Source organism: Homo sapiens, chromosome 11, assembly GCF_000001405.40.
Source record: "Homo sapiens chromosome 11, GRCh38.p14 Primary Assembly".
NCBI lineage: Eukaryota > Metazoa > Chordata > Mammalia > Primates > Hominidae > Homo > Homo sapiens.
The window spans coordinates 13097797-13125177 of record NC_000011.10 but is presented as its reverse complement, the minus strand read 5'-3'; the positions used below and the strand labels follow the sequence as shown (position 1 = coordinate 13125177).

At 43.6% G+C, this 27381-nt stretch overlaps 2 long non-coding RNA genes across 2 annotated transcripts, besides 3 other annotated features; one reads left to right on the top strand and one right to left on the bottom strand.

Annotated features, from left to right (window-relative positions):
- Positions 3961-4578: an enhancer, noted in NCBI's record as "NANOG-H3K27ac hESC enhancer chr11:13142147-13142764 (GRCh37/hg19 assembly coordinates)". NCBI's record gives its function as "activates a minimal SCP1, AML or CMV promoter by ChIP-STARR-seq in naive H9 embryonic stem cells {active_cell/tissue: H9 hESC(naive)}" and the evidence as "EXISTENCE:reporter gene assay evidence [ECO:0000049][PMID:30033119]".
- On the bottom strand, positions 9079-10103 carry LOC124902635 (uncharacterized). Its single transcript, XR_007062599.1, has 2 exons — positions 9658-10103; positions 9079-9339 (listed from the first exon to the last, which is right to left on the bottom strand). It is a non-coding gene; the product is annotated as an uncharacterized LOC124902635 (long non-coding RNA).
- Positions 10104-12196: 2093 nt separating this feature from the next.
- Positions 12197-13675, top strand: LOC105376558 (uncharacterized). The gene is made up of 3 exons (XR_931043.1): positions 12197-12606; positions 13364-13399; positions 13558-13675. It is a non-coding gene; the product is annotated as an uncharacterized LOC105376558 (long non-coding RNA).
- Positions 13448-13948: an enhancer, noted in NCBI's record as "H3K4me1 hESC enhancer chr11:13132777-13133277 (GRCh37/hg19 assembly coordinates)". NCBI's record gives its function as "activates a minimal SCP1, AML or CMV promoter by ChIP-STARR-seq in primed H9 embryonic stem cells {active_cell/tissue: H9 hESC(primed)}" and the evidence as "EXISTENCE:reporter gene assay evidence [ECO:0000049][PMID:30033119]".
- Positions 22354-23312: an enhancer, noted in NCBI's record as "NANOG-H3K4me1 hESC enhancer chr11:13123413-13124371 (GRCh37/hg19 assembly coordinates)". NCBI's record gives its function as "activates a minimal SCP1, AML or CMV promoter by ChIP-STARR-seq in primed H9 embryonic stem cells {active_cell/tissue: H9 hESC(primed)}" and the evidence as "EXISTENCE:reporter gene assay evidence [ECO:0000049][PMID:30033119]".

Below are 27381 nucleotides of genomic sequence, written 5' to 3'. Positions count from 1 at the left end.
TTGTTTGTCCTCTTCAATTAGGGCATAAACGAGATGAGTTTTTTTCCTTATAACTTGGTGTGGATGGTCTGCCGCTACAGACTTCATCTTTATCATTGTCTCATCCTCTCTTAAAATGAGTTATTCTTTTGTAAACTGCTGATTTCTTTATGACTTAATACCCATAAACTTTTCATAAAGCATCAGTGATTTCACCACTCTTCCACCCAAACTTCACTATAAATGTGATGTTTGTTCTTGCTTCAATTTTAGCAGAATTAATGTTGCTCTAATAGAGGCTCTTTTCAAACTTAGGTCTTATCCTCTTTAGTGCTTTAAACTAGTTTCTGTTCAGGCATGTTATAACAAGTTAGTATAAGTTTATTTTGGTAGAAAAAATTGAACTCTATGCCTAGTTTTTCACAATATGCATTTTTCATGAATTTATTGAAGACCCTCATATTAGATAAAAGGTCGTGGTCAATTGGATCTAACCAGTAAGATAACATCCCTCATTCCTGTCCTGTGGAAAACTAGGAAGAGTTAGGAAAATGTCATTGGGGAGTAAATCATGCTGCACATATTAAAAGGTTACCATTTGATAAGCCTTAACATATGTACATACCTGTAAAGCCATCACCACAATCAAGATAGCAAATACATTATCATCCCCAAAGCTTTCTAATGCTCCTTTGTAATTGCTCCTTTCTGCTTTTCTCTGCCACCCTTAACTTCCTGTTCCCAGATGATCACTAGTATGCTTTCCGTAACTGTCAAGGTTATTTTTTTCTTACTGAGTTTTGAGAGGTCTTTATGTATTCCAGAAGCAAGTCCTTTATCAGCTATATAATTTGCAAATGTTTTCTTCCAGTGTATAGTTTCAGTTAGATTTTGTCAGATTTTTTAAATGATCAAACTAAGATTATGGGAATCATAGAGGAATATCACAGAGATGAGGTACCTTTCTCTTACCATCATATCACAGAATACACAATATTGACATGACTTATCACAGTGATGTCAACATTTGTCTTAGATTGTTCAGGCTGCTATAGAAAAATACCACAGACTGGGTGGATTATATGCAACAGAAATGTATTTCTTACTGTTCTGGAGGCTGAGAAGTCTAAGATCAAGGTGCTGGCATGTTCAGTGTTTGGTGAGGGCTTATTTCTAGTTCATAGATAGTATCTTCTAGGTGTGTCCTCATGGTAGAAAGGACTAGCTGGCTCTTTGGAGTCTCTGTTATAAGGGCATGAATGCCAAGCATGAGGGCTTCACCTTTATGACCTAATCACCTCTCAAAATTTCCACCTGCCAATTTCAACACCTTAGAGGTTAGGATTTCAACTTCTGGATTTGAAGGGAACACAAACATTTAGATCACAGCAATTTTGACCACTTGGTTATGGGGGTATCTTCCAAGTCTCTCCCCTATAAAGTCTTTTAAACCTTTTCTAAACTCTGTTACTTGGAAGTTCTATGAGTAGTCCATGCTCAGCGGGAGAAGAATTAAATTCTACCCCCTGAAAGGAGAAATATCACCATATATTATTTAAATTCTTCTGTAAGAAAGTTTTTCCTTCTCCCCCATTATTTATTTATTCATTCACTTATTTATATCAGTTTGGACTCATGAATATTTGTTTAATTTGTTAGGTTGTAATCTAATACTATTGTGTTATTTTTTTGCTCAAATTGTTCCAGTTTTGGCCATGTGGAGTTTTTTCAGGTTAGATCTTCTATTCTTTTGATATGCTCCCATCTTTTTTTTCTTTTTTCTTTTTTTTTTGCACTTCCTTACTTTCTGGCATTACAAGATGCTCCAAGCTCATCTTGCATTTTCTATGTTCCAGCCCTAAAGTCAGCCATTTATTCCCTTGTATTGGAGAATGGTACTTAGAAGCCAAGTTCTGGATAATGAGTGTGCTCCTTGCTAGTGGGTGTCACTGCTTCAAGACATGAGAGGTATTTTTACTTCCCTAGGAAGGTTCTATGTATACCAGAGGGAAATCAAGCAACTTACAATTAGCCAATCATGTAAGAGAGTGCTACCAAAGTATGATCCATGGACCATCAACATTGGCATCACCTGTAAGTTTATTAGAAATGCAAATATTGCGTTCCATTCAGACCTCCTGAATTGGAAACTGGGGGTTGGACCAAGAATCACTATTTTAATAGGTATTACAGGTGATTTTTTTTTTTGCACACTACAATCTGAGAACAACTGAGGTAAGAAGCAGTCTGTAGAAATCTGAGTTAACTGCTATTGTATTTTGTATTTACTCCAGTACCTCTTATACGCTGTGCTCCTGACAACTACCAACCTGCCTGGCTTCTCAACCCAGCTATGACCTCAGTCTTTGGATTCTTACTGTTCTGAAGAAGACATATCACACAAAGAACACATAGGCCAGGCAGAAGAAGCAAAAACAAGAACAAAAGAGCCAGTCCTCAACAAAATACTGCAAACCAAATCTAGCAACATATAAAAATAACTATACAACATGACAAAATGAAATTTATCCCAGGAAGGCAAAATTTAACATCTGAAAGCCAATTAATGTAGTATGATATCAATAGAATAAAGAACAAAACACACATGATCATCTAAATAGATGCAGAAAAAGCATTTGACAAATTCATCCTGTCATCATAATAAGAATGAATTACGAATAGAAAGAAACTTTCTCACCTGATAAGGGCACCCATGAAAACCTCACAACTAGCATTATACTTTGTGGTGAAAGACTGAATGCTTTCCCCTGAGATCAGGAACAAGACCAAGAACAGTGTTCTCATCACTTCTGTGTAACAACAGTGCTTTCAGCCTGAGATAGCAAGAAAATGAAATAAAAGGCATTCATGTGGGGAAAAAAGTAGTAAAACTATCTCTATTTGCAGGTGGCATGATCTTGTAGAAAATCCAAAGGAATTCGCTAAGACTCTATCAGAACTAATAAACAAGTTCAGCAAGGTTTCAGGATACCAGATCAATGTACAACAATCAATTGTATTTTTGCACACTTACAATAGGCAATCTGAAAACAAAATAAAGAAAATAATTCTACTTATAATAACATTAAAAACAATAACATACTTTGGGAAAAGTTTTGAAAAAGAAGTCTAAAACATATATTCTGGGCTGGGCATGGTGGCTCATGCCTATAATCCCAGCACTTTGGGAGGCCAAGGCGGGTGGATCACCTGAGGTCAGGAGTTCAAGACTATCCTGGCCAATGTGGTGAAACCCTGTCTCTACTAAAAATACCAAAAAATTTTTCTGGGTGCAGAGATGTGTGCCTGTGATCCCAGATACTCGGGAGGCTGAGGCAGGAGAATTGCGTGAGCCCTGGCGGCAGAGGTGGCAGTGAGCCGAGATCACGTCACTGCACTCCAGCCTGGGCAAGAAGAGTGAAACTCCATCTCAAAATAACAATAATAATAAATAAAACATATACTCTGGAAACTTTAAAGATTATTGAAAGAAATTAAAGAGGACTGAAATAAATGAGAAGACATCTCATGTTCATGGATTGGAAGACTTAAAGTTGGAATGATATTACTCCCCAAATTAATTTACAGATTGGACACAATCTCTATCAAAATTCTAGCTGGCTTATTTACAGAAATTCATAAGCTAATCCTAAAATCCCTACGGAAATTCAAAGTTTCCAGAATAAACAAAGCAATCTTGAAAAAGAAGAACAAAGTTGGAAGACTCATACTTCCCAATTTTAAACTTACCACAAAGCTACAGTAATTGAGTTAGTGTGATTTTGGCATAAGGATAGACATATAGACCAATGGAATAGAATTAAGAGTCCAGAAATATAGTAAGTCTTCACATTTATGGCCAGTTGATTTTTGGGAAGAATACCAAGATAATGCAGTGGAGGGAAGAATAGTGTTTTCAACACATAGTGCTTGAATGAATGGATATCCACATGCAAAAGAAAGAAATTAAATCCCTGTCTCATATAGTATATAAAAGGTCCTATGGTGGGGGAAGCCTGGCAGGTTTGGGAAATAAAAAAGCCAGTACAGCTAGAATGCAGAGATTAGGGCAGAGGATGGTTCAAGACAGAGCTAAAAATTAGGCAGAGTTCAGAATATGTGATACAATGAATGCAAAGACTAGGAAAATGTGGAATAGTGTTAAAGGCCCTACAAAACATGTTTTACTGTGGGGGTTCAAATCCTGGTTCCACCACTCATTAGCTATGTGTCCGAAGCAATCACTTAACCTCTTTGTGACTCAGAGTCTTCATCAAAAAAATAGGCATAACAATGGAATTAGCTTACAGGCTTAACGTAAAGATTGAATGAGTAATAATGGTGTAATGCACCGCCAAAAGAACTAGGCACATGCTGAGTAAGTTATAATTACAGAAATATTTAGTGTAGCTTCTTGGTGTAGTTTCAACTTACTATAGTTTCTGATACTTATTGAGAGCAGGATTAATGTTAGCTGTTACTATTAATATTATTTCCAGGGAGTCTTATTATCTTTGGGTGAGGGAGTTGACACACAGACGTTTCTACATGTAAAAAGAAGCCTGGAGGAACATGGCAGGGACTACCCAGCTTTAGAACTGTTTGGAATTTTGATATAAAAGTAGAGCTGATTACTGGCCAAAGTACTGCTACGGGGGAGTACTTTATGGCTAGTTTGTCCTGAGGTCTGCCTGCAGGCACTACTAAACTGGGTGGGTACAGTCACAGCAGGAATCCTATAACCCTACAACTCAGAGAAGGACTTCATAGAGTAAGGCATTAGCTTCCCCCGAAAACCAGCTATAGTGTCTGATATCCACCCCAGCCTGACACCAGCTTTGGGCTTTAAATCTCATTTTCCCAACAGAGCTGGTAGCAGCTGCCTTCATATTTACTGCATCTCCTCTCCAATGACACTCTCCTCCCAAAAACCACTCTCAGCTGAGAGTCACCATCCATGAGATAGGCCTGTTCAGCATGCTTTTTAACAGATCAGAGGCCAGGTTTTGCTTTGCTTTGTTAATTGCATATCAAGCTGTCACCTAGAGCTTAATGAAGGGTATGAACATACCCATAAATTATCCAGTTTTCAAAAGCAGTTTTGATATTCCTCTAGGGAGCCTCTTTATGCTCAAATGAGCATGCAGTATTTTGCAAAAGTAAGCATTCCAAGGGAGCTGTTAATTATTTGAACCTAGAGATTTTGAGTAACTGCAAACAGCAATTGATAGATCCCAGGAGTGGCTCAACATGGGTGATGAATTTACTATTGCTGGTTGGAGGACCCACTTGGGAACCATTTTATTTATTTTTTTATTTTTAATTTTATTTGTTTATTTATTTAGACGGAGTCTCACTCTTTCACCCAGATTGGAGTGCAGTGGCGCGATCTTGGCTCACTGCAACCTCTGCCTTCCGTGTTCAAGCAATTCTCCTGCCTCAGCCTCCCAAGTAGCTGGGATTACAGGGGCCTGCCACCACGCCTGGCTAGGGAACCATTTTAAAAAGCAAGAGTGACCCATTGGATTGTTCCACAGTTCATCAGTGACTTGCTGTGACAGTGATGGGGTGCAATGGGAAACATAGGAGCTTTTGTGTCCTGATGGGAGGCAGAGTCGCCCCTGAGCAATGCTGTTGTTATTGAGAAAATAGGGTGGTGGCAGGAGGGCAACACTGAGTCACAACCACTGAGGGAGTGAAACCTGTGATCAGATGTTTCTGGGGTGTGGGAGAAGGGGACATTTATTCTCAGATCTGCCTCCTCTTTCTACTTTCTCTACCTTTTGCAGGTTGTTCTGCTGATGGTTCTAACTGCAGGGTCAATCAAGCCTGTCCCAAATTCTGAGCCAATCTCAATAGGCAAAGTCAGGACTTTTCAGGCATTTATCTTTTTATCCTTTCATTTATCAGCATGCACATGGAGACAGGCATTGTTAAGACATAAAGGGTTAAGAGAAGACATAAGGCATGATCTCTCCATTTATAGCTCACAGCGTAGGGCAGGAAATAGACACATATATAACCCTAATCTTCAATTTATTCTTCCAAGTCCTGCCCTGCCCCAGAGTTGGTCTCTCCCTGATTCTGGTCTGCTCAACAGATTCTGCCCCATATGCTCTCCATCCCAGCCCTTTGCTGCCGGGAAGTGATATTGCCTTGTACCTAGGTTCCAAGTTATGGTCCACCTATGGAAGAACTCCCCGCCCCTCCACCCCTGGTCACCACAAACACACATTAGAGTCACTTTCTCAAAATGTTCTAAGTGCCTTTCTGGTGCTTGGAACAGACAGAGCTGGCAGTGCTACCTAAGTGGAGAGCTGTGATCCCAGATGGGACCTGTGTGGGCCCTGTCCTTGCTTCGTCCCTCAGGGTCACTCTCTGACCCACTACCCCATGCGTGGAGTCAACCAGATGCCCCCTTTCCAGGAAAGTGACCTGGCAATCTGATTGTTCCTGCTGGCTTGCACAACATTTCTTTTGTGTGAGATTGAGCTGCAACAACATTACCAACATGCTGATTCTGAGTGAATCTCACTCCTATACCACAAAGGGTGACTTCGTGGCTCTGGGCTGCTGCTGGCCCTCAGGCTTAAGTTGCATGTGTGCCTGTGCTTAGGCTCCTGCCCACCCATGTTCTGACCACAAAACCACCTCCAGACTATAGACGCAAGGGTGGTGCGTGGTGCAGGCTTTTCTTAGCAGTGCACCCTCCTTAGGCTTCACACCACATAAGTCGGCAGTCCTCCAGGAGTGGCTATGCCTATCTCCTCTGAGGGCTTTTGAGACTAACTGTTGCTGTGCAAGATGGATGAGCTGTCTGACCAATGATGTTCTCTCCTGCCTCCAACCAACGTGGTGACTTCTGTGCCCCTGGATTCCTCTCGAGGTTTGCTGGACCTTGGCAGACATTCCTATGGGATAGATCACTCTTCCTGCTCTGCCTGCCCACAGGTCCTCCTCACCAATCTTAGGAAAGACTCACTTGCTTTTATGTTTCCTCTTCAGTTCTGGTTCATGCAATTGGACCATAGGGTTCAGGGTGAGGAAGAGAGAGAGAGAGACAGAGAGAGACAGAGAGAGAGAGAGATTAAAATGATCTCAGGGAATTAAGTTTTCAGAGTGAGGGAATGGATTTGGTAAGAACACAGTTAAGGAATCAAATTTGTTTTCTTCAGAAAGAGAAGGCAAATGGGTGGTTTAATTCTTGCCCTCAAGGATAAGCAATAATTTTACGCAGGGGATATAGACAAATTATTCTTATGTCTTAAAAGACTAACAATCACAGAACAACGCTTCTACTCAGTGTGTGTCTTCACTCTCCTGATTATAAAAAGGAATCACTAACTTGCTTTATGCTGTTTCACGTTGAGGGAAAGTAATTGAGGTTTTTATGAAAAAAAAAAAAAAAATCCTTGGAGGATTCACATTTCAATCCCAGGCTACATTAGCTCAATTTCTGCAGACCATACTCTAGGCACACAAAATATTCCCACCATTCCCCCAAACGTACATGTTTCTTTATCCACAGCATCTTCTTTGCGTAAAATGGCCTTCTCCACCCTGCTCCCTTTCTATTCTGGCCAATTCCTGTTCACCTGAAACTGTCCTCACAGGATGAACAAGAACTGGACAGAATATAGTTACAATTAAGCATTAATCATGCTGCACTTTGACACACTTCCTTATAGCTGAAAGCCAGATAACACTAGATACTCACCATTTGCATTCCTATTGTTCCTAAAAATAGGGTTTCTGATATTAGTATCTTAAGGCTTTTATTTGGGAATTGCTTAAGATGTTTTTCACATCCGGAATTCCAGCGAAACAGCTGACATCATCCAGTTTAAAGACCCCAAAGAAGAATAAAAACAGCCTGAGAATATGGTTTCTTTATCTCCTTGTTCCATGATTTCAGCCTGCAATCTTACCGATCAACAATCACCACACTTCGGCCCACTCCAAAACTCTTAAAAACCCTAGCCCCAAACTCCTCAAGGAGGCAGATGTGAGGTTTCTTCCCATCATCTTGTCCAGCAGCCTCACAAGTAAACCTCTTTATCTGCTGCAACCCAGGGTCTCAGTGTATTGACTTGCCATGCACATCAGGCAATGAACCTATTACACTTACACATTTTTAAGGCCCAACTTGAAGGCTCGTCAACTATGTGAAATGTTCTCAAGCTGAATCTGAGTCCTATTTCTGCGCTGTTGAACTGCTTTGCCACACTACTGTCTACTCTCTGGGCTGAACCCATTGGGGGCAGGAGTCATATTTCAGTCAGTCAGTCAATCAGTCAGTTCATCAACAAATGATTCTTGGGTACCTATTCTATCCCAGACACTGTGCTGGGCACTGCAAATACCCCCATGAGCAAGATAGACAAGACTTCTCTCCCCTAGGAGCTGGGATCTGGGGTGGGATGCCAACAGATCAAGAGGCAATTGCAAAGCACTGTGAGAAGTAGCAGTTCTGAAGATGAAGAGTGCAGGGAAATACGCCCCAGGCAGAAGGAACGGCATATGGGAATGCTGGTGGCAAGAGAAAACATTCCTCACATATCATTACATTTAGGAGAGAGAGATGCCCAGTATTACCAGAGAATAATACTGTCAAGAGTCTGGCAAGAGATGAGGGCAGAGAGGAGACCAAGGACTGCATTATTCTGCATCTTTTGAGCCCTTTGAGAAGTCTAAACTTCCTCCTAGGAGCAATGAGGAGCCTCTGAAAAGTTTTAAGCAGGGAAATGGCATCTCAGATTCGCACATTGAAAGATAATTCTGGCTGCAACTCAAAGAACAGACAAGCAGGAGATATTACTGGAGGCAGGGACAGCAGTTAGGAAAGACTGATGAGAAGGGATGGTGGTCTGCTCCATAGGGGTACAGCGGGAATGAAGATAAATGGGTACTGGCAGTGGTATCCTGCAGGTAAAATGGATGGGTTTGGTGGCTTATTGGTTATGGCTGCAGGTGAAGGATAGAGGTGGCAATGGAGGGGAAGACTGGGTGGAAGCTCTCAGGCTCCTTTCTTGAACAATGTTTAATGGGAGTGTGTTAGTTTCCAAGGGCTGTCATAACAAAGTACACCACACTCGTGGCTTAGAACAACAGTCATTTATTGTTTCACAGTTCTGGAGGCCAGAAGTTTAAAATCAAGGTGTCAGCAGAGTCATGCACCTTCTGAAGGCACTAAGGAAGGATCTGTTTCAGGCCTCTCTCTTAGCTTTCAATTCAACCCACAAAATGGGGAAAGGTACTGTTATTCCCTAAGACCCCCACAGAGGAAAGCTCATGCAGTAGAACAGGTTTGCCGATAGAGAGATGAATCCTTGAGCTTGGGGCATGTTGAGCTTGGCGAGCCTGTGGAAACCCATGAGAAGATATATAGAAAAGTATTTGATACATTGGGTTGGTGTTTTGGAAAAGGAGGGTATGGAATGGGCTGGGAATATAAACTTGAGAGTCTTTGGCTTATAGGGTGGATAAGACAGTGAACATTTGGGAATGGCCAGACCTCCTGAGGGGAAAGGGAGCAATTCATCTCTGCAGCCCCAGAACCTAGCCCAGGCCCTGCCGTTGCTGTAAAGGTTCAGTGAAAAACTGCCTGATGGAATGAAAGGATTTCTTCAACTTTTCATTAGTTTGAGATAAGAAGGCTTTGCATGGGTGATTGCTTACCCTCCTCTGGCTCTGTGACCTGAAGGGAGTGTACTTTGTGGCAATGAGAAACAAGCATCCTTAGGTTTCACTTTACAGTCTCCTTCAGTGTAATTTAGAAAATTTGCCCAGAGCTTCTCACTCAGCATCTAGGGAAAGCCACCAGGTTGTGCCCATCTCTTGACTTATAAGAACATGAACAGAAGAAAGACATATGCGTCTTGCTTTAGTTTGCAGCAACACTTCCTTTTTTACTTACAAATCTTCACCTTTGCCGTCTGCCCAGCCTTTTCAAAAAACTGTAATAAAGTTTCCAAATAAAGCCTTTTCTGTACCACCTGCTTTCCCCCCACAGCCCAAGACTGATGGTCATTTGATCTTGGGAGTATCTGGAGCGTGTTGTTCTCCCACCTGGCTGTGCTGGAGCAGAAGCTGCTGGGGGACAGTGGGTGGAGCTGTGGAGCAGTGTCATCATCTGCTGGGCAGTTGATCCAGGTTCCTTTGTGCCTGTTGCCTGGTGACACCCAGAGGCCCCTCTCTCAGAGCCACACTCTGGCTTGCTATTGGTCCGGTGGTGGCATTTGTTGACAATAGACACTTCCCTGGCTCCAGGTTCTGAAAGAGGCCTGGGAGCTTTGGTTTCAAGCTACAGTGCTCATTTAAATGCATTTCTTTAACTCTTTGTGTCCCCTTCCAGGAAAGTTCAGCGAGAGTGTGCACCCTGACCCTCTGGCAAGGTTCTCCCCTTCACCCTAGAGTGCAGCTGGACTCAGATGGTTTCTTCTCTGCTATGCTGCTGTGGCAGGACAGTTTTCTTCTCACCTCTTCCTGGGTTTTTTTGTGGCTGCTTAAACAAACAGGCTTTGTCGGCAAGACAAGTCATCCAAGTTGAGCTAGGAAGTAGTTGATATTAGCAAGAGAAAGGTTTGTTTTTAGGATGTCATATTCTGAAGACTATGAAAGACCAGAGCCTCTTCTTAGAGGTCCCAGGAACTGTAGATACAATCTATGCCTTCCTGAAACAGAGCTGGGGCCAGGCACAATAGAGGGGGAGCAGAAGACTGAGGTGACTCTGGGGGAGGTGATGAGGGTGGGAAAGAAAACAGAGAAGGGCTTCTGAATGTCCCCAAGGTGGGCCCTGTTTGATCAGTGAGTGGATTTATGGCCCAAAGGGGTGGCATCATTTAAGGAGCTCAGTCCCCCACTTGGTGAGTGCCTGGCATCTGGGATCCTCAGGCAGCTCCCCAGACACTCCCCATCTGCTTCTTCCTCCCTACCTTCTGGGTACCCTTTAGAGAATGCGTCAGCTGAGGGTTAGAGTATGGATAAGTTGGGTCGAGGCAGCTGCAGTGTGGACCAGAAGCTGCCCAATTCTGGCTGGTTCCTCGAAGAACCCACTCAGATCTTTTTTTTTTTTTTTTTTTTTTTGAGACGGAGTCTCGCTCTGTCGCCCAGGCTGGAGTGCAGTGGCGGGATCTCGGCTCACTGCAAGCTCCGCCTCCCGGGTTCACGCCATTCTCCTGCCTCAGCCTCCCAAGTAGCTGGGACTACAGGCGCCCGCCACTACGCCCGGCTAATTTTTTGTATTTTTAGTAGAGATGGGGTTTCACCGTTTTAGCCGGGATGGTCTCGATCTCCTGACCTCGTGATCCGCCCGCCTCGGCCTCCCAAAGTGCTGGGATTACAGGCGTGAGCCACCGCGCCCGGACCCCACTCAGATCTTTTAAACCTGGTACTGCTTGTAGGAATATACAGGCCCAGACTCCCGGCAAACTGCCCTGCCTATACTCCACACCTCGTACCCTCTCTCTCCTCCCACCTAGAACAAAACCACTTTTAGGCAGGGAAGGCAGAGGCTCTTGCAAAGACCAAGCAAGGGATGAGGGAAACCTGATGAACGCTTCCCTTCCCTTCTGTTGAGCCTTGCAGCCAACTGCCCAAGCTCTAGCCTACACTCCGACAGGAGGCCCCAAGGGGACCTCAAAACAGGAGAAGACATTCTGAGGCTTCTGAAACTGTGTCATCAAGATTAATTGACCTATGTCTATAGTAGCCAGTACTCCAGAGCAAGTAGGGTTTGGAGCTGGGGCAGAAGTTCCAGGTCCCTGTGACTGGGAGACATGTGCACCAGGTCCCAGTGACCCATGGGTCACAGAGATTTCTGCTAAGCCTCCCTGGAGCCCAGTGTCCCAGTTGTCTCTGTCTGAAGTGCGCTGTTGTGTTAGATTCATCAAGAGGGTCCCTCCCTCCAACAGGGCTGCGGGTCCTATTTACACAGCTTCTTTCATTGTCTTTTGTTTTTTTGAGACGGAGTTTCGCTCTCTTTGCCCAGGCTGGAGTACAATTGCACGATCTCAGCTCACTGCAACCTCTGCCTCCCAGGTTCAAGCAGTTCTCCTGCCTCAGCCTCCTGAGTAGCTGGGATTACAGGCATGTGCCACCACACCCAGCTAATTTTTGTATTTTTAGCAGAGACGGAGTTTCACCATGTTGGCCAGGCAGGTCTCGAAATCCAGACTTCAAGTGATCTATCCACCTCGGCCTCCCAAAGTGCTGGGATTACAGATGTGAGCCACCACATCCGGCTTAGCTTCTTTCATTTTCTCAGGTCCTCTTTCTGCCAGCAACAGTTGTTCTGCAGTGTTTCTAGTGTGACTCCTCCTTGTGCATGCACCCGAGTTCTGAGAAAAAGAAGCCATTTATCCCCAGTTCAGGTGCAATATGTCTGCTGAAAACATGGTAGTATTTTGCCATCATCAATTTACTCATCCATTTGAACTAAGAGCCAGTCAGAAAGGTTGGGTGCAGCCAGGCTTTAGTTCTGTTTTGTTTTTGCTTTTGTTTTTCAGAAAGAGGAAATTGGCACTAATTTGAGCACAATTGCTTGCAAACATTTTACTGATTTTTTGTTGTTTTGATCTTGCTTATAGGAATTATTGAGAAAAGAAAAATCTTGGGATGATAAATATGGTAAGATCCATTTAATATTAAAAGTGAAAAGGAGGTGGGTTTCACAGAGAGTAGACCAGTGGTCTTGCAATCAATTCTGAGAAAGATTCTGAAACAAAAATTTTAAGATATTCTATTAAGTCCCTAACAAAATACCAAGCTCGGTGGTTTCAACAACAGAAGTTTATTGTCTCACAGTTCTGGAGTCAAGAAGTCTGAGATCAAGGTGTCAGCAGGGTTGCCCCTCTCCTAGCTTCTGGTGGTTTTCTGGCAGTCTTTGACATTCTTTGGCTTGTAGAAGCATCACCGTGCACTCAGCCTTCATCTTCACATAACACTGTCTGTTTGTGTGTGTGTGTGTGTTTGTGTCCAAATTCCCTCTTTTTCTAAAGATACTAGTCATATTGGATTGGGGTCCACCCTACTCCAGTACGACTTGATCTTGAGTGCTTACATCTGCACTGACCCTATTTCCAAATAAGGTCGCATTCTAAGGCACTGCACCTTAGGGCTTCAACTATGAATTTTGGGGGAACACAACCATAACTGAGAGCTTTTGAGCATTTGGTAAAACAACCAGTCATTTCTAGAAACCAATCTGAGCACACTAAGAACAAACTGTCAATCTAAGCAGATTGCCTACTGTCGGGGCTCAGAACACGATACCCCAAAGTACGGTGCCTTTGGGTCTTCATTTCTGAATCCTCTTGTATCACATAAAACTTTGATTAAGCAAATCTGTCACGCTTTTCTCTTGTTAACCCGTTTTTTGTTGTAGGAGCATCGGCCATGGCCCTGACTATGGGAAGGAAAGGTATCACACTTTTTCTGCCCCCACCCACTGTCCCAGGGTTAAAGATGAGTAACTAGATTTACATGACAGAAGGAAAGGGGCCAAAGACCAAGACCACACCAAAGGGTGATGTATGTTTGTCTACTTAACTGTAAGGTCTAATTTCTCATGTGTTTCAGGATCTCTAAAATCCAGAAGTGAAATATCTTGGCAAGAAAATTAAGCCCCAAGTGGCTTCAACATTTGGCCTGGTGGTCAAGGAACTGTCATAGTTACTGGGATAACAACCATTATACATCCAGGGAGGCTGTTCTCAGAATCTTTCATAATTAAATCTCTAAAGCTGGGAAAACAATCTCCTATCACTTTCTTTGTCATCATACCACTTCCTTTTAATTTCCAAGCCTCATTTGCACTTCTTCCCACAGTGTCTCTCTGAGCGACAGCAAATCTCTGCGTTGGCCAGGAATAACAGTGCAAAGCAGTGTGGGTGGCAGGGCCCTAACACCCAAGCCTGAGCCTCCATTTCCCGCCATTGTTCCCTCAGTCAGGCTGGGGCTGTCCTGGGGAGAGTTTTTCCAGATAAAACTGTCCTGGTTGGCTGCCAGTGATTCAGACAGGTTCACAGCCTCAAACCTCCTGATGGGTAAGCAGTGATTCAGACTCCAATCCTGCTTCATCTCTCAGGCTTATCGCTTATCTCCAGCTGCCAGGAGACAGACAATGGGGGCAGAGAGGCATTTTGGCTGAGCCAGGCCTCAGGTAGCCCCAAGGGATTTGAGAGGCCTCCAGACAAGCAGACTCAGGCACTCTCACCAGGTCACTCTCTATTTAAAAAACACAAAGTCTATGAGTTCCCTTGAGAATATAGCATTTCCTGCGACCTATGACAGCAAAAATGGACATTTCTATATCTGTTGATTCATTCCTTCTTCAGAGCTGCTGTTTCAAGTAACCCAGGACTTTGGGTGAAAGTATTTAGGGCAGTCGGGACTCCAAAGGACCTTGCAAAAGGTGAATTCTTGTCCCGCCCCTTCCCAACTTCATTTGACTTTAAAAGTAACCCTAATACTCTCATAGTAAAACTGGCGAAATCTAAATAAACTCTGGATTGTACCAATGTCAGTTCCCTAGTTTTGATGCTGTGCTGTAGTTATGCAATATGTTACTACTGGGGATATTGAATGAAGGCTACTTTTTTTTTTTTTTTGCAACTTTCTGTGAATTTGTAATTATTTTAAAGTAAAGCTTTTTTTTTAAGTGATCTTAATGGCTCCCCCAAACCCAGTCACTATATCTTGTCTTTGAAAAAGTCACATAGCAGAATTGCTGAAAGTATAGGCTTTAGGCCAGACAGACCTCAATGCAAAAGCAGCCTTCACCTCTTGGGCAAATTACTTAATCTCTTTGAGCTTCAGTTTTCTTATCTAGAAGATGAATCTGATTGCTTCCCTGATGAGTGAGTATGAGGTGGGTATGAGGACTAATGAAGTAACTCATGGAAAGCACCTGACAGAGTGGATGATAAGCACTCCCTTTAAAACTGTAATCTATTTATTTATTTATTTTGTTTTTTGAGATATGGAGTCTTGCTCTGTTGCCCAGACTGGAGTGCAATAGCATGATCTCAGTTCACTGCAACGTCTGCCTCCCAGGTTCAAGCGATTCTCCTGTCTCAGCCTCCTGAGTAGCTGGGATTACAGGTGTGTGCCACCATGCCCAGCTAATTTTTGTATTTTTAGTAGAGATGGGGTTGCACTATGTTGGCCAGGCTGGTCTCGAACTCCTGATCTCAAGTGATCTGCCTGCCTCGGCCTCCCAAAGTGCTAGGATTATAGGTTTGAGCCACCATGCCAGGCTAAAACTGTAATCTATTGAATAGAGGAGCCTGTATGTGTTTCCAACAGAGGGTCACAGGCTCAGAAAGTCATGTGTGTAGCTGAAAGAATTTTTTTAGTGGCCTCAGTGAGTCAAAAGGGTCCACACCTGGACATGATTCAAGTATGAGTCAAATGCCTATGGAGGAATTATTTGAATTCTGTCCTAATTTCTTTTTCCCTATAAATTGTCCACATTCCCAAGTTTTCTAATGTGGAACTAGACTAAACCATTGACATGACAGAAGCAGAAGCATTCCATTTCCAATCCTAATAGGAATGGCTCAAGCCTTCCAGCCAGGTGCCTGGGGCAGGGGTGGGACAGGAGGCAGAAGAGGTTGAAAAGTATTGGGTGTATTGTCCCCTAACTCATGGGTGGGAGCTTATTAAAGGAAACATATGCTTGTGAAATATACCAGGTACCTACACTCCAGGAAGAGAAAAGTCACTTTGTTCAGGGAAGCCTCTTGGCCATCTATCACTGATGCAGGATTTTTTTTTTTCTTGGTGCTGCTTCACCAGACAGAGACCTCTGCAGCCTGCATTGTCCCTGCCTGGGCCCCACTCAGATCTGGGCTCACCGCAGGAGGTACCCCATGGCTCCAGCCCTCCTGCTGCTTCCCATTGCTGAGGGTGGCTGCCTAGTGTTGGTGGATGGCTACAGTGTTACAGCAGCTCCTTTGGCACCTGCCATCCAGCAGGTCCCAAGTTCTTGTACCATATCCAAGAAGAATGAGATTATTTGGACAACCAGAGAGTGAGAAGGGTGGAGAAGAGTTTTATTGAGTGACAGAACAGCTGTTAGCAGAAAGGGGACTCTAGGTGGGTAGTCTCCCCAACCCAAAGGTGAGTGGTTCCCCTGAAGTGTGGCTGAGTCCAGGGCTTTTATGGGCTCAGAATGCAGGTGTGCGTGCTGAATGGTTTGTGAGTATGCAAAAAAGGCTAAAACTAAGGCACCACCCAAAGATGGGCACAACAGTGTAAAAAACCAATTAGGGAAAGATAGGTACTTGTAAAATAGGTGATGGGTGGGAATCAATCAGAGGAAAGTGTGCCAAATGGGAAGAGAGGTTCTTTTCTGGTCTGTGGATTTATCTGAGACTAGTAGCTTGGCTTTCAAGCTTTAAACTGTCTTTGTTTTGGAGGTCAGGTTTCACTGGGGAAATATCTGCCTAGGGATTTGTCTGCTTCCTCCTGCTATCATCACCTCCTGGAGATTCAAGAATAGGTCCAAAAGCTACTTTTTGTAAGGCCCTTTCTGGCCCTCTTCCCTCCACAAGCCCTGTATTCCAGACACCCCGGTTACTCATCGTTTCTCAGACACCACCCAGCTTTCTCCAGCCAGGTTGTCCAGCTACCTGGAAAGCCCCTCCCTCCACCCACTCCTTCAGTGCCACTCCCCTCTGCCTTTTTCATTCCACCCAATTTTCAAATCTTTCACCAAATGCTTTATCTTCCTTGAAGCCTTGCCTGAACCACCATTCAGAGGTGGTTCAACTCCTTTGAACTCTCCCAGCCCATGTTTGTCTCTTCCTCACAGCCTTGAACATATTAATTCAACAAAGACCTACTGTGTTCTATGGACCAAGCTCTATGCTAGGCTCTGGAGATGCAATGGTAAACAACAGAGTTGGGTGTGTATGTGTGTGCACATGTTGGGGTAAGAATGAGGGCAGAGATGCTAAACAAAATAGTTGCACAAAAACATATACATATACAAATTATAAGTACGATAAAGGAACAAGGGATAAAAAAATTCGAATGTGTACTTTAAAGAAGGATCTAGTTTAGAAAGGGAGACCAGGAAAGGCCTTCCAGAGGAATGAACATTTCAGCTGAGGCTTAATGGATCAGTGAGTTGTCAGTTACCTAAGAGAAGAGATGGGCCAAGGGCCTTCTCTGAAAAACAGGGGATGCAAAACCCACAAGGCCAGAGGAGGATGGGGTGTCTGAAGAACTACAAGGAGGCTAGCATAGCTGAAACAGTGAAGAAGCAGAGTGGAGTGCGAGGAGGCAAGAGAGTGGCAGGAAGTCCAATCACATGGGGCCAGCAGGTCGTGGTAAGCATTTCGAATTTCTTCCCAACTGTAAGATAAATCATTAAAGGCTTTTAAATCAGTACTATGGTCTGAATAATGGTTTTAAATACTTCTATGGCTACTATCTAAAAAGAGAAGCAAAAGTAAAAATGGGGCTACCAAGAGGAGGTCATATGATCTCCACATGAGAGATGGTGGTGGCAGTGGGAGTCGGGAGAAGAGGAGGGAACCTAGATCTAGATCTACTTTGGGAGCCTGAAATTTTATCGGATGTAGACATGAGGGAGAGGTAGGTGTTAAAGATTACTCCCAGATGAATGGCTTGGACCATTCATCTGGTGGATGAACCTGCCTCCCAGTGAGAAAAGCCATGCTGGAGGAGTAGCAAGTCTAGGTGGAAATGTCCAAGGTGCAATTTAAGACATTAGATTGCAAGTAGATAATGTCAATCTACTTGCAATGTCAAGTAGGCAGCTGGATATATTGATCTAGATCAGAGAGAGGTCACTGTGGGAGACATACATTGGAAAATCATCAACTATAGATTTAAGTCTTGTGAATGAATGAGATAACCACAGTGTGGAAAGGAAAGAGAAGAGATGAGGTGGGCAGAGAACAACATACAGGACAGCGCCTTGAAGAACCTAAAGTTTTTCTTTGATTTAAATTATCTCTGCCCCTTGAGGGCAGGAACAATGTCTTTGTCAAATTTGTTTCTTTTCTGTGCTATCTCAGGGGTAGGCAGTGAATCTAAATTAAGGAATTTTACTGGGCTCAGAAGTAACATTGTAAGTGCTCATATGAACTCATTCAACAAACATCGATTGAGCAGCTACTGTGCAGCAAGTACTGTGGCAGAAAATGAGGGTAAAATATGAGTAAGATGTAGTCTCTGCTGCACTCAGGGATCTCCCAGATTAGTGAGGGGAAGGGATAAGAAAAGAGATGCCAACATCAGTGATACCTACATCTATAACAAAGAGTACTCTAGAGGTACTAGGTACATGCCTAGAGATTTCCATTTATTTTTCACATAATACTGAAATTGACTCAGTACTGAATTTGACTTAAGTTATTTGCCCAAGGTCACATAGCTGGCTGACAGCGGAGCAGAAATGTGAACTTAGACTAGCCTGGCTCCAATTCTGTGCTCTGGACATCACCCCTGTGGCCTGTTCATAGCATGTCTTGATGCTTTTTCCCTGCCCTGCCCTTGCTGCAGAAACTCCTGACCTGCCTGCTACAAACATAGTTCCCTGGGACACCCCTACCCACAATGTGGAGAGCAGAGAGGCCTTGCTTGTGACAAGAGCTGATGTCCTTTAGCTTTTCCATGTCCCCTGCCTTTAGTGAGCCTAAAATCTAGGAGAAGAGGTCTGACACATGTGCATAAATAGCCATGTTATAGGAATGACAAGTCCGTGACATGGTCCACATTTCTTAGACAATGTCATCTGCCATCTCTCCTGTGCTCTGGTAGCACTTTTTTAATCCTTGACAGGTTCCATACATTGAATTGTACTTATGCACACTTTTCGGTTGTGAGGGCCTCCAGAGCTGTGACTGCGGTATAATTTTATACATCCTGTGTATTTCTCAAATCGAGTCTCTTCATTTCTCAGGCAGAGATTACCACCTTCATGTCTCTTGCCTTGGGTTATTGCCACAGCCTCCTAACAATTTCCTGCCTCAAATCTCTCCCTGGTTTTATCCACCCTTCAGAAAGTAGCCAGAGTGATCTTAAACCACAAAGCTTGAATCAATCCCTTGCTTAAAACCCTCAATGGCACAACATGCCTCTCAGAATGAAGCCAAGCTCTAAGACTGGAACTCCAGGTCCTCCAATGATATCTTGCACATTCTATACTTTGGCAACATTCTCTGGTCCAGCAGCAAGTGCTGCTTGTAGCCCTATTCCAATGCTCCTCAGCTCTGGGCACCTGCTCTTCCTCTACCTTCCGAAAATGCGCTTTCTCTCCACCTTCACAGAGCCACTGTTTACTCATTCATCATGGAGCCCCACTGCTGGACTTCTGAAGTGTGACCTATACTCATCATTTTATGACAAGCAGCTTCTGATGTGTCAATTTTGACCACTAGAGTGAGTTTCTAGGGGACAACCAGGGTGTCTTTTGCATCTGCATCTCTCCAGCATCTACCACAGTGTCTGCAAAATAATAATCACTCAGTAAATACTTGTTAAATGAATGAATGAGCAAGTGAATGATTAATTGTAAAGTACTAGGATGTATTAAGCACCAAATGAGCAGTACAGACAATAAGTGTGAGAGAAAGGAGGAAGTAGTCACTTCCAGTTGGGGTAGCCCCAGAAAGCTTCCCAGATAAGAATAAATGTATGCTAGGCCTTGCAGGATGAGATAACGTGTGCTGGCCCAGTGCCAACTAACAGTTGGCGTTGAATGAGGGTGAAACGAATCTGATCTGGCTGGATGGAAAAAAGTGGGGAGGACATTTTATGGGGACAGGTGGTGGGGACAAAGGCTTTTAGGTGGAAAAACACAAGGCAAGTTCAGGGAATAATCCAGAGACCAGCTGGATAGGAGCAAAGGATTAATAGTGGGGAAGACAGACAGGGAGGAAGAGGAAGTGGGGGACAAATGGTGGACAGTGCAAAGACGTGTGTGCATGGTGTGGGCTTTTGCACAGAGTGGTCAATAACTGAGAGCCACAGAGCTGCCTGCACCTGTCTTTTTCATCAAGGTTTAAATTTGAACTAGATTAAGAGAACCTCTGAACAATGCAAACAAAACACTCAAACAATGCCTTCCAGGGTCGTGGGATGGGGCGGAGTAGGAGAGGTACAGGATCAGGTCGTTATCTAATGTCTCTGTAGTGTGGAACAATAGGCCAAAATAACCCCAACAGGTTCTCATTTTTCTCTGCATCTCTAGTTTTGCCCGAATTAGAGAGCAGCTGAGTTGACCTAGGAAAAAAATCTACTTTGAGCAGGAAATGCAGTAGGGAGGAGAATGGGAAATTCTAAAATCATGCCAAGAGAGGAAATGGCCAGTGCTGGTTGGGCTGAGAAGAATGGGGCCCCTTGCCCTACTTCACTCCTGGTCTGCTCTTGGGAACAGCCTATATACAAGGTGCTTGACAGCACAGGATAGGGACAGAGGGGTACGTGTCATGTTGGCCACTCCTGGCTGTTTGGAGCCAACACTGATATTACACTGTGTCTGGAGAAGGAAAGCAGGCAATGAGGCTGGGCAACACACAGGAGAGCTCTGTCCCATCACCAACTCCACCTGCCTCCCATATCCATCTCAAAGGAGGCAGCACGCTGCAGCGAAGAAGAAACTGGGGAGGGAGTTCAGAGTCAGGAGCTTTAGCCTCCATCTCTGCCGTTTACTTGCCTTTTGGTATTGACCAGCCATTGATACTCTCCAAGACACTGGTCTTGTTTCTCTTCTATTGCTCTAATGAAGAAGGTGGGTTAGGGATCCTCCCAAATCTCAAGGTCTAAGACTCTCCCACCAGTTGGCTGTAATTTGGTTATCCAGCCTCAGCTTCCTATACTGGATTTCCATTCACCCTTTGCTCCAGTCACAGCAGAACATTCCCCGAACCTGCCCTGTATTTTCCTTCCTCTATTCCTTTGTTCACATGGCTTCCATCCAAACATCTCTTACTTTCTTTCTTTTTCTTTCTTTCTTTCTCTTTCTTTCTTTTTCTTTCTTCCTTTCTCTCTTCCTTCCTATCCTCCTCTCCTTCTTCTTTTCTTTTCTTTTTTTTCTTTTCTTTCTTCCTTTCTTTCTTCCTTTCTCTCTTCCTTCCTATCCTCCTCCTCCTTTTTTCTTTTCTTTTCTTTCTTTCTTCCTTCCTCTCTTTCTTTCTTTCTTTCTTTCTTTCTTTCTTTCCTTCTTTCTTTCTTCTTTCTTTTTCTCTTTTTCTTTTCTTTCTTTCTTAGTGTCTCACTCTGTTGCCCAGGCTGGAGTACTCTCTCTCTCTTTCTCTTTTTCTTTCTTTTTTTCAGAGTCCCACTCTGTTGCCCAGGCTGGAGTGCAGTGGTGCAATCTCTGCTCACTACATTTTCCACCTTCTGGGTTCAGGTGATTCTCATGTCTCAGCCTCCTGTATAGCTGGGACCACAGGCGCACACCACCACACTGCCTAATTTTTATATATTTTGTAGAGATGGGTTTCTCCATGTTGCCCAGTCTGGTCTCAATAACTCCAGCGTTCAAGCAGTCCATCCACCTCAGCATCCCAAAGTTCTGGGATTACAGGCATAAGCCACCACACCTGGTCCTCTCAGTTTCATTTATTGAAATCCTGCATTTCTTTCACGAGTAACCCATTCACCTCGTTGGGAGAAAAACTTTCTTTTAAATCCACATGCATGTGGGAGCATTGATAGCCGAGCAGTGAGGAATAAAGGTTTATATACCAACTTCACTGGGGAAAGGGGGTGGGGAGAAAGGGCTTCTGTGAGAGGATAAATGAGCTTTCAGTGGAGATAAATGGAGGGTATGACAATTGGTGATAATGTGTATTTATGCAATTTCTCTGCCTTGTGCTAATGACCAGTCTCCTTGGCTGTCAGCTCTCCTGGAGAGGGGATTTATGGCAATTTCATTTTCAAGGAGCTCTGCCTTTAGTCCGATAAGGGAAGCTCAGAAAAGGCTTCTTTCTGCATCTTCCATATTTCAAATATCTTCATTTTAAAATAGTCTTTATGCCATTCCTGTAGGATGTCAGTCCTGTCAGCCACCCACTCCTGAACACGGTCTCACTGAGTATTCTAGTGAGAAACCTCAGATAATTTCCACCAGCTCTGTATGCCTCAGTTTACTCTTCTGTAAAATAGGGATAATGTTTCCTATTGTAGTAAAGATTGCACGAGCTAATATAAGGCAGTTAGAACAGTGCCTGCTGTTATGAGCATTGCCTGCTGTTATTATTTTCTACTCAGTCCCCATTCCCTACTAGAGATGTGTGAAGAATAAGAATAACTACGGCTGGGGATTTAGGAGTTATCTCAGAGGCAAAATACTTTGAAAGCAGACATCTTTCGGTAGACTTTAGTTTTCTTCCTTTTTTTTGTTTTTGTTTTTTTTTTTTGTTTTTTTTGTTTTTGGCTTATCACTCGATGGTCTTACACTTCCAATGGCCGTAAGAATTACTGTCCAGGGTTGTAAATGCACAACAATGTCTTCTCTATTTGCAGTCTGTAAATGATGTTGAGGGATAATTTTGACCACATGTGATTTTTGTCTCTTGCATGCACTCTATTTAGAATCTAAACAGTGACTCTTCTTTGTGGGTTTGGTTTTAACTAGAGAGCCTTTCTCCCTGAGTTATTGATGAAGCCCTGCATGGGAAGTAGTGAAGGGTCTGCAGTAACCCAGCTGAGTTCCTCTGTTTTCTTGCTCTGGTTCTACTTTCAGTGGTAGTCCACAGTGTCAATGCAAAGGGTTTAGAGCTCTCAGAAATGCCCCAAATCCAAACCTTAAAAGGCTGGCTTTCTGGCTGAATTATTCACTGTTTAGAAACTGTATTTGAACAGCCTGTAAGCCATTCACTATTGTGGGGAAATGTAAATGAGGGACTCTGATCTCACACTGGGCAAATGCCTAATCAAGTGGGTGTCACCCAGGCAAGAAGGCCACAGAGATGCAAATGGACACTTTTAGACAAAGGTAAACCTATCACTGTGCCAGGATGGTGCCTTAAAGCTGGGCAGTGAGACCACAATGGAAAGGAACAACCCACGGGACCCTTGATATAGACAGAGTCAGAAAGGAAAAGAAGGAAGCTGAGCCCCATCCTTGGAATAACAGTGGAGGTTAAAAGCCCTACAGAATCTATTCTCTACATTCTGGGAGAGGTCAGGAAGTCTGGCCCAGTAGAAAATAAAAACCTTACATAGTTTTACTTATTGAGTCTTACAGAGTCCAGCATTTGTGCTACGTCCCCGTATTTGTAACTCTTTTTCTCTCTGCCTGTGCTTCTATTGGAAGCAGCAGTTAGACTCGTGAATCTGTCCTTATGGAGAGCCAGGAGAGATTGCTGCCTCCCTCCTCACCAGGCTCACATGGGGAAGAAAAGGGCCGTAAGGTATCCAATAAGTGGAAGCAACTGCTGAAAAGGCCAAGTCTGAGTCCCTGGGACCTGCTGTAAGTCAGCAAAGAGAGCCTAGAAAGCAAGCCAGGGCCCAAGAAAGTATGAAATCCTGTGTGAGGCCAAACAACCACTGCAATATTAAACTTAAAACACCTACCCCATCCCATGCTACAGTTATTTTTATTCTTTTTTTTTTTATTTTTATTTTTTATTTTTGAGACGGAGTCTCGCTCTGTCGCCCAGGCTGGAGTGCAGTGGCGGGATCTCGGCTCACTGCAAGCTCCGCCTCCCGGGTTCACGCCATTCTCCTGCCTCAGCCTTCCAAGTAGCTGGGACTACAGGCGCCCGCCACTACGCCCGGCTAATTTTTTTGTATTTTTAGTAGAGACGGGGTTTCACCGTTTTAGCCGGGATGGTCTCGATCTCCTGACCTCGTGATCCGCCCGCCTCGGCCTCCCAAAGTGCTGGGATTACAGGCGTGAGCCACCGCGCCCGGCTTACAGTTATTTTTAATATGTGCCTGATGTCTCCCTTGAGATTCTAAGCAAACTGAGGGCAGGAAGCATTCTTGGTTATGTTGTCACTCCCAGGGTCTGTCTATCACAGAGTTTTGCACGCAGAAGGCACACTTTAATTATTTATTGCTGTGTAACAAACCACCCTGAAACTTAGTGGCTTTGAAACAGTTTATTGTTTCTCATGGTTCTACCTTTTGGCTGTGTTTGGCACAGCAGTTTGTCTGTTCTACGTGACATCTGCTGGGTCACTGGTTACGCTGTGTTGCAGGCCACTTTGGCTATGCTGGAAGGGTCTTGAAGACCTCACTCATGTCTAGCATTTAAGCACTCCTCTACTTGGCCTTTCTTTCCATTCAGGAGTCTAGCCAAAGCTTCTTTCCAGCATGCGGATTATCCAAGAGCAAAAGTAGGAGCTACCAGGCCTCTTAAAGGCTACACTCAAAACTGGCATAACCATTACCTCCATCACATTCTATTGGTCACAGCAGGTTACAAGGCCAGGCCAGATTCAAGAGAAGGGGAAATAGGCTCTGTTTCTTGATGGGAGGAGGGGCATGCTTATATTGGGAGGAGAAGAATTATGGCCACCATCTTTGGACACTAGCACAATGTACTTGCTCAATATGTATGGAATTTATTTTCCAATATGAGGACTAGCGGTGAATATGGCCTAATCAAGGAAGCTTACACTTTTCTTCTATTTATATGTCACTGTTTCTGGTTTCATAAAACAACAAACTAGACCAGCACTGTCCAGAAGAAACATAATGTGAGTCACAAATATGACCCACATATGTAATTTTTAATTTTCTTGTAGCTACATTCACTAAGTAAACAGAAACAGGTGAAATTAATTTTAATATTTATTTTATTCAACCCACTATATCCAACATATATCATTTCAACATGTTACCAACTGAAAATCATTAATGAGATATTTTACATTCTTTTTTATTTTTGTACTCTATTTCAAAATTTGGTGTGTTACACACTTACAGCACATCTCAATTTGCACTAGCTACATTTTAAGTGCTTAATAGCCACATGTGACAAGTGACTATCATTTGGACAGGTGCTAGACAGTCCATTAATTTTTCTTACCTCTACAGTAAGGAAAAGTAGATGATAAAGTACAGCAGGCGGCACTATAATGCATATTTTTAGTGCTATTGTGAGCAAAAATGATAGAGAATACATGAAATGCTCCTCAAGTACCTTGCATACAATAAAGGCTCATTAAATATTGCTTCCATTTCATTGTTGACAGGTATTTCATTGCCCTCTTAAGCTTGCTCAAATTAAGGCTACGTGTTCCTTGAGCCAGAGAGCATTTATAACCTGCTTTTACCTGATGCTATTAACCAGGTTTCTTTCTTTTCTTTCTTTCTTTCTTTTATTTATTTATTTTTTTTCGGTTAAGAGACAAGGTCTCCCTCTGTTGCCCAGGCTAGAGTGTAATGGTGTGATCTCGACTCACTGCGGCCTCGACTTCCCGAGCTGAAGCAGTCCTCTCACCTCAGCCTCCCAAGTAGCTGGGACCATAGGTGCATGCCACCATACATGGCTAATTTTATTTTTATTTTTTTTGTAGAGACAAAGTCTCACTATGTTGCCCAGACTGGTATTGAACTCCTTGGCTCAAGTGATCCTCCTGTGTCGGTCTCCCAAAGTGCTGATATTACAGGAACGAGCCACCATGCCCAGTCCATCTTTCTTATTTCTCAAAATTTCTTAACTTTCTATTTCTCTCTGCGCATCTGCTCCACTTTCTTCTTCCAGCTGACCAGAATCCTCTCTGCATACATACTTCACTATGGCTTCCCCAGCCTCTTTTGTTATGACACGACTTTTTGATACATCTGACCTGCTGATGACTGGCTTGGATTCTCCACATTTCCCGGTTCCCAACAGTGGTAATCTGATTGGCCTAATTAATGTCTTTTCATGCCACTTCACATCCTATAATTGATAATTGGCTGCCTTGGGTTCAACCCACCCTTGGTCTCTAATCAGTTGTGGTTAGGGAAGCACCTTCTTATGGTACTCAATATGGCCACCTGGAAATGGGGGGCTGCCCGTGTGGTAGTATCCCTTAGAGGGGTGTGGCCAGACATACTGGTTGATATGGAAATGCTCTATTTCACTCTCCATCACTGGGATTTCCCCACTGAGCTCATCAGTCTGGCCCCAACAGAAAGAAGGTTTCCTCCCTTTACTTGCTACCATCCTTGACCTCTAGGATAGCTTCACCTAACTACAGGAATGCATATGATTAAAGGCTGTCAGAAGCCTGGTTGCTGAGGAAGTCTGCTTAGGCACAAGGCAGTGCTCAAACAGGGGAAGTTGCTGATAGTCATCCTCCTATAATTCCTGAGGAACCCATTCTTGGTCCAGATACTTACCATAACAGATTGATTTAAGTGCTTACTTTGCCAACACCTTCATAAATCAGTGTTTTTCTAAGTGGAGTTTGTTATATGACCTTGTTGCATTAGAATCAGTTTGGAATGCTCATAAAAATGTGGATTACTAATCCCAACTCCAGGACCTATGAATTAGAATCCCAGGGAATGTGTCTCAGGGATCTGCATGTTTATAGGCTCCGTAGATAAGTCTAACATACAGGAAGCCTGAGAAGTATTGCACGAAGCCACCTGTGAACCTCATGTATTTCAGACTGTTCTGCCCCATCCCCTAGACTTCATGAGAATTCCTCTGACACTTGACTTGTGGAACCTAGAATTTTTCTAGAAGTTTCCAGGCAGTCTGAGGTCCATCCAAGTATCCTCAGAGGCAGATGGTAAGAATGAAAGTTCCCACTACCATCTGTTCTGACCCAAATCCTTGGATTCAAACACAGAGCACCCATACTTTGCCCCTGATTTGACATTTCCCATGGGATGGCAAAGGGATTTACCTGGCAGCCGTTGTGCAATCAGCACAGATCCCCAGGCACCACCCTACATAGAGGCTCTTCTGGCTGACTGCCTGAGTCACAGCTCAATGGGATAAGCTCAAGAAGCCCCAGGCGGGTAGAAAGCAGTGCATGTGGGGCTGTGCCCCTGCAGAATCACAATGGAGCCAGTGTTTGCATTAGAGCCAGACAATGACTGTGATTCAAGGGACGGGATGCCAAAGCTGAAGGGTACTCTGGGTAAAGGAGAGGACCTGGGCCCCTTTCTTGGCTCAGTCTCTGCCTGGAAATGATTCCACTTTTGTTTTCAATCCTTTCTGCCTGTTTTTCATATTTCTAGGAGCATGAATAAGTGGTCATACATTGCTTCCAAGGGAATCACATCTTTTTCACATTTGACCCAAGAATTTAGACACTATACTACCCCACCGCATCCTTGTTATATATAAGCAAGATTTGTGCGTTCTCAAGATTCTGAAGAAAATGAAGTAATGTCCTTAACAATGGGTCAGAACTGACATCTAGCCTCTTGAGAGATGGCAGTCAGCATTGAGCTTTTTCATAATTT